This window comes from Homo sapiens, chromosome 8 (assembly GCF_000001405.40).
Source record: "Homo sapiens chromosome 8, GRCh38.p14 Primary Assembly".
NCBI lineage: Eukaryota > Metazoa > Chordata > Mammalia > Primates > Hominidae > Homo > Homo sapiens.
The window spans coordinates 124392579-124408712 of NC_000008.11; the positions used below are offsets into that span (position 1 = coordinate 124392579).

The 16134-nt window shown below is 44.1% G+C and overlaps 1 annotated feature.

Moving 5' to 3' along the window:
• Positions 13857 to 14057: a silencer, noted in NCBI's record as "peak7162 fragment used in MPRA reporter construct". NCBI's record gives its function as "represses an SCP1 promoter by STARR-seq MPRAs in K562 erythroleukemia cells {active_cell/tissue: K562}" and the evidence as "EXISTENCE:reporter gene assay evidence [ECO:0000049][PMID:32103011]".

Consider the following 16134-nt stretch of genomic DNA (forward strand, 5'->3'; position numbering starts at 1 on the left):
CATGCTGATTGTTACCTAGACATTTTGTTTTCTTCATTGTGTTATTTCTTATAAGCCCTGTGAGTTGCATGCTTTCAAGAGGTTCTACATTTTGTTTCAAGATTTAGAATTCTATTTAGCATTTCTTTTAGGATGGTCTGGTAGTGACAAATTCACTCAGCATATGTTTGTCTAAAAAAGACTTTATTTCTCTTTAATTTATGAAACTTGGTTTTGCTGGACATAAAATTCTTGGATGATAGTTATTCTGTTTAAGAAGGTTAAAGATAGGACCCCAGTCCCTTCTGGCCTGTAAGGTTTCTCCTGAGAAGTCTGCTGTTAGTCTGATAGGTTTTCCTTTATAGGTTATCTGACACTTTTATCTCACTGCCCTTAGAACTCTTTCCTTCACATTGACTTTAGATAGCCTAATGACTGTATGCCTTGGTGATATCCTTTTTGCAGTGAATCTCCTAGGAATTATCTAAGCTTCTTGTATTTGGATATCTAAATCTGCAGCAAGGCCAGATAAATTTTCCTCAATTCTTCCCTCAAATAAGTTTTCCAAATTTTTTTCTCTCTCTTCTCCCTTGGGAACATCAATGATTCTTTGGTTTGGCCAATTTACATAATCCAATATTTCTTGGAGACTTTGTTCATTTCTTTTAACTCTTTTCTCTTTATCTTTGTCTGATTAGGTTAATTCAAAAGCCTTGTCTTCAAGTTTTGAGATTCTTTCTTCTACTTGTCCTAGTGTATTCTTAAAACTTTCTACTGCCTTTAGTAATTCCCTAAATGTGTTTTTCATTTCCAGAAGTTTGGATTGTTTTTTCTTTAAGATATATATCTCTTTAGAAAATTTTTCATTCATATTCGGAATTTTTTAAAATTTCTTTATGCTGGTTGTCACCTTTCTCTTATATCTCCTTGAATACCTTAATCATCAGCTTTTTAAATTCTTTATCTAGTATTTCAAAGATTTCCTCTTGGTTTGCATCCATTTTTGGAGAGCTAGTGCAATTTTTGGGGGGTATTATAGAACCTTGTTTTGTCATATTGCCAGAATTATTTTTCAGTTCCTTCTCATTTGGGTAGACTGTTTCTTCTAATTATTCTTCCCCACCCCCCACCCCACCCTGAGACGGATTCTTGCTCTTCACCTAGGCTAGAGTGCAGTGGTGCAATCTTGGCTCGCTTCAACCTCCATCTCCCAGGTTCAAGTGATTCTCCTGCCTCAGCCTCTCGAGTAGCTAGGATTACAGGTGTGCGCCGCCACACGCGGCTAATTTTTTTTGTATTTTTAGTAAAGACAAGGTTTCACCATGTTGGTCAGGCTGATTTTGAACTCCTGACCTTGTGATCTGCCTGCCTCAGCCTCCCAAAGTGCTGGGATTAGAGGCATGAGCCACTGCACCAAGCCTCTTCTAATTATTCTTAGATTTATTTTTGATTCAACTGTGTCTTTTTTTAAAAAAAAGAAAATTCTTTCTTTTTTCCCTTGAGGATGTGACTTTAATGTTTACAGTTTACTGTAGCCTAATTCAGCTCTCATTGCTTTCAGGGGTGAAGACTCTGTATGAGTTCCTTTGTTATAGACAGTCTTTGTATGATGGCTTTCTCAGATGCTTGTTGTAGTAGAAATGTGTTCAGTGTGTGAGCAGGTTCACCATCTCCTGTAGGGTTGGAATGTCAGAGCTCTCTTGAAGCTTATCTCATTCCCCAGTGATGTGCACTTTTATATTTACATATTTATCCCCCAGTATTTGATCTACTGGGTTGAACATTTCAGACTTCAGACCAGTAAGGAAGGTATCCCTGGGTAGAAACTGGTTGTGGCTAAATCAGGTGGGTAAAAGCAATACCAAATGGTGGGCAGAGGTCCCAGCCTTAACAGAGGCAGCTGAGGGAGCTCTCAGTGAAATGTACTGAGGTTTTATCAGGGGGAAGGTTGGAAGTCACCTCAGCTCACCAGGCCAGCAGGAAAGTGATCCACCTCCTAGTTACACTCCTGACCCAGTGTTCCAGCAATTCATACCAGATGGGCACCTCTTTTTGGCTGCAGGAATTTTGATATTCCATGTAGAAAGGACCTGTGACTCTAGCCACTGTGCAAGCCTAAACCTGGAGGGTACTCCTCCTGCAGGGATGCAGTCACTCCAAAGTGTTCCAGAAAGGCTGTCTGTAGGTACACCCTCACTGAGGTCCCATGGGAGTATCCCAGATATGTCTTCAGTGGCAGATGAAGGAGAAAAGAAGTCCCCTTCTCCTTCACAAGTACCAAGGCTGCCTGACTGCTGGGATAAAGCCAGAGACTTTTCCTGCTGAGCCCAGCACTGCACCTGCACCTCTGCTGAAAAAACTTCTCACAAGCAGAAAGTTCTGGGACTCAAGGCCTTCCTTCTGGATTATTTTGTCCCTTGAGGTGTTCCGTTGATGTGGTGCACTCCCCCTTCCCCTAAGAGTAGCAGCCCTGAGAGCCAGACTACTGTGAATGCTGCTGCTCCTCTGGGTCTGGCCACCCAGTAGGGCTGCCACACTCCAAACTGTGCTGGGGAATGTCGTCAAGGGATCCAGTGACGTGACCTGTCCTCAAGTCTTCCAGCAGTGGGTACCAGCACTAGTTCTAATGGGGGTGAGAGGGGAGTGATGCAGACTCTGTGACATTCCTTGGTTATAAATAGCCTTATTGTGTTGGCTTTCTCAAATGCCAGGTGTAGTAACAATGAACTGGTCACGTAGACAGACTCAGGATCTCCTGATTAGCCAGGATAGTGCAGGCAATGGTGACAGCTGAAGTCACACACACATTTTCTCCTTCCTGGGCACTGCATTATTCTACCTGCGCCAGTTGGCCTACAGCCAGGTGGTGGTCTTTTTTGAAAGAGTGCCAGCTGCAGTGGTAGAGGTGGGATTTATGCTTGCTTTATGTTACCCAGGGGAGGTACTCTGATGTCTCAAGCAATGGTCAGACCCATTGAGCTCCCAAATGTTTGTGTCCTTTGTGTAAAGCTACCAGGGCAGGTGGAGGGGTAACGCCAGGTGGGGGCTGGGTCAGGCAAGTCTGTGCTCTGGCTCTCCATGTGTGGGGCAAGTAGCAGCCCCAGTGGGGATTGGAAGGCAGTTCTCTGGCCACTGGGGTAATGTCCCCAGGAGGGGCACAGCTATTGCTGCTGGACAAAAGAATCTACATGGGGAATGGGGTATAGCAGGTGGCAGTAAGCTCCATCCAGCTCCCATGCACTTGTCGAGGCAGTCTCACACCTGCAGTGTTCTGCTGTCAGCAGCTAGCTTGCTTCCAGACAGTCTGCACTCAGAACTCAAAATCGCCCCAAGCCATAAGCTTTCCTGACCAAGACAGAAACCTTGACTTTCAGACCATGCCCCTCCTGGTCCACCCATGAAGCAGGGGCAGCCAGTTCCTGTCCTCATGCCTGCAGCACACTTCCCACTCGCCCCTCAGTTCTGGCCAAGGGCATTTGTCCCCACTCAACATAATATTGCAAATCTCAGTTGGGAGCTTCTCACAACTTGTGACTGCCACCTGGGTCTAGCAGACTTCCAGGAGGTCCCCTGTGAGGTAGGTTCAGGAATCGCCTCGCTCCATCCCTGCTGGAGCTGGACACAAAGCCTGTCCAGGTGCCGCTCCTTCTCATATACTCCTCACCGCTCACTAAATCAGCTCAAGAACTGGGTAGGCTTAAAGCCTTCCCCCATGGCCTGGATTGCCAGGTCCCTCAGTAAAAGTGTATATCCCTGGGGCAGTTTATCCCCCTTTCACACTCTGGGGACTTACAGTTTTCCACCTGGCTTACTGTGTAGGCCTCAGCCTGCCACTTCTTTCAAAGGGCCTGTGGTTTATTTCACTTTTCCTATTGCTTCTTGGAAACAAGTTCACAGTGTGAATCTCTACACACTATTTTCTACACAATATGTTGTCTTCCCAAGTGGGAGAAGAATGCTAATAATGCTTCCAGTTTTCCATCTTCTGTTATCTCTTTTTGGTTTGCTTGTTTGTTGAAATGGAGTTTTACTCTCGTTGCCCAGGCTGGAGTGCAGTGCCGTGATCTCGGCTTACTACAACCCCCACCTCCCTGGTTCAAGCGGTTCTCCTGCCTCAGCCTCCCGAGTAGCTGGGATTACAGGTGCCCACCATGCCAGTCTAATTTTTCTATTTTAGTAGAGATGGGGTTTCATCAAGTTGGTCATGGCTGGTCTCGAACTCCTGACCTCAGGTGATCCACCCACCTCGGCCTCCCAAAGTGCAGGGATTACAGGCGTGAGCCACTGCGCCCAGCCTGTTCTCTCTTCTCACAAGGACCCTAATGCCATCAGACCAGGGCCCCACCTTCCTGACTTCACCTAAACCTAGTTACCTCACCAAAGCCCCATCTCCAAATACCATCACATTGAGGGCTAGGGCTTCAACATATGAGTTCAGGGGTACCCATTCGGTTCATAACAGGAAGAGTGTGTGTGTGTGTGTGTGTGTGTGTGTGCCCCATATATATGTTGTGTAGCAAGGAAGCAAGAGTAGTTTAACTCCTTCTCTTCCATATCTTCCATAGTGAGCTATACCAGTGAAGGTCACAGCAGGACACCTATGGTGGTATACCCTAACTAGGATCATTTGAACAGGGGTTATTTTCAAAAGGACCATTTACAAAGGTATGGGTGTAGGGTGTAGAGGAGCCACAAGAGATAGCACAGTAACGCAGAGCTTAGTCGTAGTTGTGCTGCTACCAACCCTGGGCTCAAGGAGGTAAGAGGAGTGCATGGTGGGTATTTACAGTGTAATTAAAGGTTAAGAGCAGAGACATCAGAGACAGAATAACCTAGACTAACATTTTGCCTCTGCCCCTCACTAGCTGCAGATTCTTGAACAGATTACTCTCTTTGGGCCTCAGTTTCCTTCTTGGCAAAATTTAGACAATAATGCTACCTACCTCCCAGGGCTGTTTATATGTAGTCATGCATTGCCTAACAGTGGGGATATGTTCTGAGAAATGCATCATGAGATGATGTCATCATTGTGTGAACATCATAGAGGAGCTTACACAAACCTAGATGTTATAGCCTACTACACACTTAGGCTATATGGTATAGCCTATTGTTTCTATGCTACAAATCTGTACAGCATGTTACTGTACTGAATACTGTAGGCAATTGTAACACAATGGAAAGTATTTGTATATCTAAACATAGAAAAGGTGCAGTAAAAATACAGTATAAAAGTTAAAAAATTATATACCTGTCCGGGCACAGTGGCTCACACCTGTAATCCCAGCACTTTGGGAGGCCGAGGCAGTGGATCACCTGAGGTCAGGAGTTTGAGACCAGCCTGGCTAACATGGCAAAACCCTGTCTCAACTAAAAATATAAAAATTAGCTGGGCATGGTGACACGCACCTGTAATCCCAACTACTCTGGAGGCCAAGGCAGGAGAATCGTTTGAACCCAGGAGGCAGAGGTTTCAGTGAGCCGAGATCATGCCACAACACTCCAGCCTGGGTGACAGAGTGAGACTCTGTCTCAAAAAATAAATAAATACATAATGGTATACCTGTACAGAGCACTTACTATGAATGGAGCTTGCAGGACTGGCAGCTGCTGTGGGTGAGTCAGTGAGTAGTAAGTGAGTGAAGGCCAAGGACATTACTGCACACTACTATAGACTTTAAAAACACTGTACCCCTAGGCTACACTAAATTTTTTTTTTTAATTTTTCAAAAAAAATTTTTTCTTCAATAGGCCGGGTGTGGTGGCTCATGCCTGTAATCCCAGCACTTTGGGAAGCCAAGGCAGGCGGATCACCTGAGATCAGAAGTTCGAGATGAGCCTAGCCAACATGGTGAAACCCTGTCTCTACTAAAAATACAAAAATTAGCCAGGTGCAGTGGCCCGCACCTATAATCCCAGCTACTTGGGAGGCTGAGGCAGGAGAATCGCCTGAACCCAGGAGGCGGAGGTTGCAGTGAGCCGAGATTGCGCCACTGCACTCCAGCCTGGATGACAGAGTGAGACTCCATCTCAAAAAAAAAAAAAAAAAATATATATATATATATATATATATATATATATACACACACACATACACAATATATGTATACACACATATATATGTTTTCAACGTTTTTACTCTTTTGTAATAACACTTAGCTTAAGAAAAGAAGTCATTATATCAAAAAGACACCTATATATCCATGTTTATCACAGCACAACTCACAATTGCAAAGATTTGGAACCAACCTAAGTGCCCATCAACAGATAACTGAATTAAAAAAAATGTGATATACGGCTGGGCACGGTGGCTCATGCCTATATAATCTTAGCACTTTGGGAGGTCGAGGCAGGCAGATCACCTGAGGTCAATAGTTCAAGACCAGCCTGGCCAACATGGTGAAACCCATCTCCACAAAAAATATAAAAATTAGCCAGGCGTGGTGATGGATGCCTTTAATCCCAGCTACTGGGGAGACTGAGGCAGGAAAGTCTCTTGAACCCAGGAGGCGGAGGTTGTAGTGAATCGAGATCGTGCCATTGCACTCCAGCCTAGATGACAAGAGCGAAATTCCATCTCAAAAAAAAAAAAGTGATATATATACACCATGGAATACTACTCAGACATGAAAAGAATGAAGTAAGTCTTTTGCAGCAACTTGAATGGAGCTAGAGGCCATTATTCTAAGTGAACAACCAAATACTCTATGTTCTCGCTTATAAGTGGGAGCTAAGCTATGGATATGCAAAGGCATACAGAGTGGAGGTATAGGCCGGGCACCGTGGCTCATGCCTGTAATCCCAGCATTTTGGGAGGCCGAGGCAGGCGGATCACCTGAGGTTGGAAATTCGAGACTAGTCTGACCAACATGGAGAAACCCCATGCCTACTAAAAATACAAAATTAGCCAGGCGTGGTGGCGCATGCCTGTAATCCCAGCTACTCGGCAAGCTGAGGCAGGAGAATTGCCTGAACCCGAGAGACAGAGGTTGCAGTGAGCCAAGATCGCAGCATTGCGCTCCAGCCTCAGCAACAAGAGCGAAACTTCGTTTCAAAAATCAAAAACAGAAACAAACCCAGAGTGGATGTGTAACAGACATTGGAGACACAGAAAAGGGAGGCTGGGAAAGGTTGAGGCATAAAAAAATACTTAGGAGGTACAATGAACAGTACTAGGTTGACAGTGCACTACAATCTCAGACTTTACCACTATACAAGTCATCCATGTAGCCAAAAACTACTTGCATCCCAAAAGCTGTTGAAACAAAAAGAAACAAAAAAACTTAGCTTAAAACACATATTGTACAGTGGTATAAAAATATTTTCTTTTTGTTCTTTTCTTTTTTGCTTTTTCTTTTTCTTATTTTTTTGTTTTTTTTTGTTTTTTGTTTTTTTTTTTTTTGAGATGGAGTTTTGCTCTTGTCACCCAGGCTGGAGTGCAGTGGCACGATCTCGGCTCACTGCAACCTCTGCCTCCGGGTTCAAGCGATTCTTGCCTCAGCCTCCCGAGTAGCTGGGATTACAGGTGCCCGCCACAATGTGTGGCTAATTTCTTGTATTTTTAGTAGAGACAGGGTTTCACCATGTTGACCAGGCTGGTCGCGAACTCCTGACCTCAGGTGATCCACCCGCCTCAGCATCCCAAAATGCTGGGATTACAGGCATAAGCCACCGCGCCCCAATGAAATATTTTCTTTTTTTAATGTCTTCATCGGATAAGCTTTTTTTCCATTAAAAAAATACTTATTTTTTACTTTTTAGACTTTTATTGTTACAAATGAAGACACAAACATACACACTAGCCTAGGCTTACACAGGGTCACAGTCATTATCATTGCATTCCACCTCCATATCTTGTCTCACATAAAGGTCCTCAGGGACAATAATATGCCTGGAGCTGTCATCTCCTATGATAACAATGTCTTCTTCTGGATACCTCCTGAAGGACCTGCCTGAGGCTGTTTATCTTATAAGTAGGAGTATACTCTAAGATAATGATAAGGGCCAGGTGCGGTGGCTCATGCCTGTAATCCCAACACTTTGGGAGGCCGAGGTGGGCAGATGACTTGAGTCAAGACCAGCCTGGCCAACATGGTGAAACCCCATATCTATTAAGAAAACACAAAAATTAGCCAGGCGTGTTAGCACACGCTTGTAATCCCAGCTACTCAGGAAGCTGAGGCAGGAGGATTGCTGGAACCCAGGAGGCAAAGGTTGCAGTGAGCACAGATCATGTCACTGTACTCCAGCCTGGGTGACAGAGCAAGATCCTGTCTCAAAAATAAGTAAATAAATAAAGATAAAATAGTATGGTAAACACATAAACTACCAACACAGTTGTTTACTAGCAAGTATTCTATACTGTACCTAACTGTGAAATCGCCTTTGCAAAGGCAACCAGGACAGTGAAATTTCACTGACTGAGACAGCGAAAGAAATCTAACTTAGCCAACTCCATCTTGCTTCTAACCTCCAAGCTGTCCTTGTTCATTCTTGGGCATAGGCTGAACTATCTTTGGGAGAAACTTATAGTTTATAGTTTAAAACAGAGATGATGACAGCCCTTTCCCAAAGCAGACCTCCTTCTTGCCTGGGACTACATTGCCTCTGTAGGACTAACATTAGCCACAAGATTAGAAATTATAGTTTAGGAGTCATGTAGCTGGAGGCTACAAGTTACTGACCCTCTCTAAACTGCTCCAAAGATCAGTGCTTGACATATTTTGCAGACCCTGTACTTGATGGATCAGCTGGCACCACCTAGATCAATAAACTGGGTTATTTGATCTTGTGGTCCCCAACCAAGAACTGACTCAGTGCAAGGAGACAACTCCAACTCCCTATGATTTCATCTCTGACCAATCAGCACTCCTGGCTCACTGGACTTCCCCCACCCACCAAATCATGCTTAAAAACTCTGCTCTGTAGGGCAGGTGCAGTGGCTCACGCCTGTAATCCCAGGACTTTGGGAGGCCGAGGCGGGCGGATCACGAGGTCAAGTGATCAAGACCATCCTGGCCAACGTGGTGAAACTTCACCTCTACTAAAAATACAAAAATTAGCTGGGCGTGTTGGCAGGCATGTACTCCCAGCTACTTGGGAGGCTGAGGCAGGAGAATCACTTGAACCCAGGAGGCAGAGGTTGCAGTGAGCCAAGATCGCACCACTGCACTCCAGCCTGGGGAAAGAGCAATACTTTGTCTCAAAAAAATAAAAATAAAATAAAACCTCTGCTCCCCAAATAAATGCTTGAGAGACTGACTTGAGTAATAATAAAACTGGTCTCCCGCATAGCCAGCTCTGTGTGAATTACTCTTTCTCTATTGCAATTCCCCTGTCTTGATGAATTGGCTCTGTCTAGGCAGGAGGCAAGGTGAACCCCTTGGGTGGTTACAACTCTATGTGCTATACTTTTCTATGACTGGCAGTGCAGTAGCTTTGTTTATACCAGCATCACTACAAACACATGAGTAATGCTTCGTGCTGTGAGGTTACAATGTCTGCAACATCACCAGGCAATAAGAATTTTTCAGCTTATAGGTTAGATGATAAAGATTATAATCTTTCAGGACCACCAGCACATATATATGTGGTCCATTGTTGACTGGAATGTCATTGTGTGGCACATGACTGTACTTAAATTAGATAATGTATATGAAGAGTTTTTCATAATGCCTGGAGTACATCATATAAATTCAATAAGTGAAAGCTTTATTTTGAGTGGTTACATCTCTATTACAAAGTTGCCAAGAACATTAGCTTTGGAATTAAAGAGAGCTGCAGAGTTCTTATTATGAAAAAAATGAGGGTTATTTGTTGAAAGGCTCATAACACTTTGAGCTGAAGGTAGAGAACAGATGTAGGCTCTCAAAAAGAATGTGGCTAATTGAAGTTGTGCTTGCTTGAATCTTCCTCATCTCTTCAGACACCTCAGGACTCCTCAATCCTGAAGCTATTTCCATCAGAGTCTCTGCTTTACCATTTGGAAAGCCTTTTTTTTTTTTTTTTTTTTTTTTTTTTTTGAGACAGAGTCTGGCTCTGTTGCCCAGGCTGGAGTGCAGTGGCACAATCTTGGCTCACTGAACCTCCACCTCCTGGGTTCAAGTAATTCTTGTGTCTCAGCCTCCCGAGTAGCTGGGGTTACAAGTACACACCACCATGCCTGGCTAATTTTTTGTATTTTAGTAGAGATGGGGTTTCACCATGTTGCCCAGGCTGGTCTCGAACTCCTGAGCTCAGACAATCCACCCTCCTTGGCCTCCCAAAGCGCTAGGATTACAGGCGTGAGCCACCACACCCAGCCCGGAAAGACTTTCAAAGGCTACCATTAATCAGTAAGTGGTTCAAGAGAGGGAGAGCTCTACTTTTTCCCTCTACTACTTCTCAATTGCTCTATCACTTCTCAGTTAAATGATTAGATAATTAGATTTGCTGATCAATTTCAGAGAAATAGCTAACAGTTAGAATTCCATGCATGGCATATACTGTGCTAGGTATTTTGTATTCTTCATCTCACTTATTCTGTTAGCCTTGAAAAGTGGCTTTTGGTGTCTCCAATTTATAGATAATATTTAACAGTAATAACAGTGATTATAACTCACCATTATTGAGTGCTTACCATGATTCAGTTACAGTTTTAAACCCTCAATACAGATAATGTCTCTTTATCTTCATTAATAACTCTATCAGGGAGGAACTATTTTTAATCCCCATTTTTTAGATAAAAACTAAAGGTGCAGACATATTCAGTAATTTGCCCAAGGTCACACAACTAATAAATGATGGACAGGATTCAAACCTCTGGTCTCTATGGCTCCAGAGTTCAAAGCTTTTTCTCCTCAAAAGCCCAACAAATTCAAGCATTGACATATTTTTACAGCTGAGAGACAATGAGTCATTGCAACCTTTCTGCATGAGTTTCAAGTTTTCTCAAAATCAAAAATCTGTTTATCCTCTTCATAGCTCCAGTAGCAACTTCCCTCAATAAATTATCTGTTGCCTGACTAGCTCCATGTCTAATGACTTTATTATGCTCCAGTTTGAATTTCCTATTCTCACTACCCTTCTTAATCATCCAAAATAATTTGTTCATGCAATGTTGTCCCTGAAGCATTAGAAAATATATCATTTGAGGAAAAGTTCTGTAACATAAATGCACTAAATACGAGGTCCATTAAGACCAATGACAGCGTGGTGGCTCATGTCTGTATTGCCAGTACTTTGGGAGGCTGAGGCGGGTGGATCACCTGAGGTCAGGAGTTCAAGAGCAGCCTGGCCAACATGTTGAAACCCCGTCTCTACTGAAAATACAAAAATTAGCTGGGTGTGCTGGCACATGCCTGTAATCCCAGCCACTTGGGAGGCTGAGGCAGGAGAATCGCTTGAACCCAGGAGGTGGAGTTTGCAGTGAGCTGAGGTCGCGCCACTGCACTCCAGCCTGGGCAACAGAGGGAGTCTCTGTCTCAAAAAAAAAAAAAAATTAGCCAGGTATGGTGGTGTACGCCTGTAATCCCATCTACTCGAGAGGCTGAGGCAGGAGAATTGCTTGAATCCAGGAGACGGAGGTTGCAGTAAGATGAGATCGTGCCACCGCATTCCAGCCTGGATGACAGAGTGAGACTCTATCTCAAAAAAAAAAAAAAAAAAAAAAAAAAAACAAAAAAAAAAACCAACGAGAGAGAGATTGAGAAATGCAAATGTAATTACAATGAACTATTTGGGGCTGGGCACAGTGGCTCACGCCTGTAATCCCAACACTATGGGAGGCCAAGGTGGGCGGATCACCTGAGATCAGGAGTTAAAGACCAGCCTGGCCAACATGGCGAAACCCCATCTCTACTAGAAATACAAAAATTAGCCAGTTGTGGTGGCATGCACCTTTAATACCAGCTACTCAGGAGGCTGAGGCAGGAGAATCCCTTGAACCTGGGAGGCAGAGGTTGTAGTTAGCCGAGATTGTGCCGCTGCACTCCAGTCTGGGCAACAGTGAGACTGTCTCAAAAAAAAAAAAAGACCACCGAAACACAAAAACTGTTAAAAAGGATTAACGTAGTTCAGTTTTGTTTTGTTTTAGACGTAGTCTTGCTCTGTCACCCAGGCTGGAGTGCAGTGGCACGATCTCGGCTCACTGCAACCTCTGCCTCTCAGGTTCAAGGAATTCTCCTGCCTCAGCCTCCTGAGTAGCTGGGATTAAAGGCAGACACCACCAAGCCTGGCTATTTTTTGTATTTTTAGTACAGATGGGGTTTTGCCATGTTGGCCAGGCTGGTCTCGAACTCCTGACCTCAGGTGATCCACCCACCTTGGCCTCCCAAAGTGTTGGGATTGCAGGTGTGAGCCACTGCGCCCAGCCCAGTCTTCTTCATTTGTGCCTATTTATTGGTATTGGTAACCTTCTCTCTACCTAGTTTAGTGCAAAGCATCCTGATCTCTTCTCTCCCTGCAATGATCCTTTACTCCCCGTATTTTGGCCACTTTCCTCATAGTCATACCTGGCCTGGTCAGCACAAATAATTTCAACAACTTCAAATTCAATCATAGCTCTGTACTCTGACCACCACTTCCTATTCTTCTAGATGACTTATTCTTACTCCTCAAAACCTACAATTGTTTGACCCTATCAGGGCCTCTGACCTATTGACTCTTTTAACTTTTTCATCACTCATCAACCGTCGTAGGTCCTCCCCTCCCTTTGAGCCTCGTCTAAAGTCAATGGCCTTATAATCACTATCTTTGAAACACTATTAATTTGCTTGCTGTCCTCACTCTCCATCTTGCTTGTTTGGCAAAATATCAACTCTAGCTAAACCCAATTGTGGATAATTGGCTAATTTTCCACACCTGTTCCTGAGCAGAGGCCTGTGAGTAAAGAGCATCACAATCACAACCTTTTCCTTTCTTTTCTTTTCTTTTTTTTTTTTTTTTTTTTTGAGACAGGATCTTGCTCTGTTACACAGGCTAGAGTGCAATAGTGTGATCACGGCTCACTGCAACCTCTGACTCTCGAGCTCAAATGATCCTCCCACCTTAGCTTCCTGAGTAGCTAGAACTACAGACATGCTCCACTGTGCCTGGCTAATTTTTGTATTTTTTGTACAGATAGGGTTTTGCCATTTTGCCTAGGCTGGTCTTGAACTCCTGGACTCAAGTGACCTGCCCTTCTTGGCTTCCCAAAGTGCTGGGATCACAGGCATGAGCCACCGCACCTGGCCCAATCTTCTTTATTATCACAACTTTTTTTTTTTTTTTTTTTTTTTTTTTGAGATGGAGTCTCACTCTGTTGCTCAGGCTGGAGTGCAATGGTGTGATCTTGGCTCACTGCAACCCTCGCCTCCAGGATTCAAGCTATTCTCCTGCCTCAGCCTCCTGAGTAGCTGGGATTACAGGTGCATGCCACCACGCCAAGCTAATTTTTGTATTTCTACTAGAAGTGGGGTTTCACCATGTTGGCCAGGCTGGTCTTGAACTCCTGACCTCAGGTGATCCACCACCTCAGCCTCCCAAATCGCTGGGATTACAGGTGTGAGCCACTGCCTGGCCCTGGCCTTTTATCACAACTTTCTCTACCTCTCTGGGCCTTCTCAGCCTTTACAATATGTAAATGTTTTCTGTTTTTGTTTTTGTTTTCATTTTTGTTTTTGTTTTTGTTTTGAGACAGAGTTTTGCTCTTGTTGCCCGGGCTGGAGTGCAATGGTGCGATCTCGGCTCACCGCAACCTCCGCCTCCTGGGTTCAAGTGATTCTCCTGCCTCAGCCTCCCGAGTAGCTGGGATTACAGGCATGCGCCATCATGCCTGACTAATTTTGTATTTTTAGTAGAGACGGGGTTTTTCCATGTTGGTTAGGCTGGTCTCGAACTCCCGACCTCAGTTGACCCACCCACCTCAGCCTCCCAAAGTGCTGGGATTACAGGTGTGAGCTACCGTGCCCAGCCATGGTTTCTGTTCTTATCAGAGGCTTGTTCATTCAATCTTGTCTGCTTCGGAAGATCACTTCTAGAATTAACTGTCAGTCTTTGCCATCTTCCAGTTCTCTCTACTGAACACTTCCACAAGCATAAAACCATCTTCAAAACAAAAACAGATCTTCCCTTGAACACACATGCACATAAAGCTACAGCCCTATTTTTTCCACTCCAGGGAAAAACTTGAAGATATTCCCGGTTAGCATTTTTACTTCCTCTTTTCCCCTTTACTCTTTAACCCTCTCAGCTGGACTTCCACCCTAACCACTCCACAAAAACTGCTTTATCAGACGATTAATGAGGTCTATGTTTCTGTGATGGTTAATTTTATTTGTCAGCTTGACTAAGGGATGCCCAGATAGCTGATGAAACAGTATTTCTTAGAATGCCTGTAAGAAGCATTTGAATCAGCGAGCAAAGAGGGCCCACCCTCACCAATGTAGGTAGGCATTATGTAATCAGTTAAGGGTCAGAATAGAATTAAAAATGCCAGGCACAGTGGCTCATGCCTCTAATACCAGAACTTTGGGAGGCTGTGGTGGGAGGATTGCTTGAGCCTAGGAGTTAAAGACAAACCTGGGCAACATAGTGAGACCCTGTCTCTCTAAAAAAAAAAAAAAAAAAAAGAATAAAAAGGTAGAGGGGTGGGCGTGGTGGCTCACACCTGTAACTCCAACACTTTGGGAGGCCAAGACAGGTGGATCACTTGAGGCCAGGAGTTTGAGACCAGCCTGACCAACATGGTGAAATCCCATTTCTACTAAAAACACAAAAATTAGCCGGGTGTGGTGGCATGCTCCTGTAATCCCAGCTACTCGGGATGCTCAGGCATGAGAATCGCTTGAGCCTGGGAAGCGGAGGTTGCAGTGAGCCAAGATCATGCCACTGTACTCTAGCCTGGGCAACAGAGCGAGACTGTCTCAACAACAAAACAAAACAAGAACAACAAAAAAAAAGGTAGAGGAAGAGCAAATTTGTTGTCTTTTTGAGCTGCGACATGTATCTTCTCCAGTTCTTGGACATTGGCGCTCCTGCTTCTCAAGCCTTAAGGCTTATGCAGAGTATACCTCCACCTTCTGGGTTTTCCAGCTTGCTGATGGCATATTGTAGGACTTGGGCTCTGTAACCACATGAGCCAATTCCTATAATAAATCTTCTCTTATATATCTCTACATACCTTATTTGGTCTGTTTCCCTGGAGAACGCTGACTAGTACAGTTGCTAAACACAGTGTTTATTTTTTCTGTTCCAATTTTCCTTCAAGTCTCGAACATATGTGAAATAGTGAATTACTCCCTCATTCTTCATTCTAGAAATACTCTCTTTTCTTGGCATCTGGGGAGACACTCTTCTGATTTTCCTACTATCTACCTAGGAAGAAGGCTATTTCTTCAGTTAACTTTTCTTCTTTTTTATTTTTTATTTATTTATTTAGGGTCTAGGCTGGTGCAATGGCTCACAACTGTAATCCCAGCACTTCAGGAGGTAAGGCAGGAGCATCACTTGAGTCCAAGAGTTCAAGACCTGCCTTGGCAACATAGCAAGACCTCTTTGCTACAAAAAATGAAAAATTAGCTGGGTGCAGTGGTATGTCGCTGTAGTCCCAGCTACTTGGGAAGCTGAGGTGGGAGGATCACTTTTGTTCAGGAGGTCATGGTTGCAGTGAGCCACGATTGTGCCACTGCACTTGGCCTGGGTGACACAGCAAGCTCACCAAGCTCCACTGGGCCTCCCATGGCCTCTCTGGCCCCTGTCCATGCCTGAGATTCCTCTCCTGCCATGCTCCCTTTTGCTCTTCACTTCAGCCATACAGGCTTCTCTTAGGTTTCCAGAACAGACCAAACTTGTTCCTATCTCAAGGCCTTTGCAGCTATTGTTTCTTCTGCATGCAACAGAAAAAACAAAATTCCTCCCCAAAATTGTCCTCTTGTCAAAACCTTTTCTGACCAGCCTACATAGAGTTATCTCTGCCACATTTACTCTAGATAATGTCATTTCTCTTTATTATTTAAAATAGCAATTTTAGTTATCTGAAATCATTTTATTTGTTTGTATTTTTGTTTACTTTTTATTATTTATTTATTTACTTATTTTGAGGCAGGGTCTTCCTTTGTTGCCCAGGCTGGAGTGCAGTGGTGTGATCATGGCTTACTGCAGCCTCAGCCTCCGAGGCCCAAGCCATTCTCCCACTTCAGC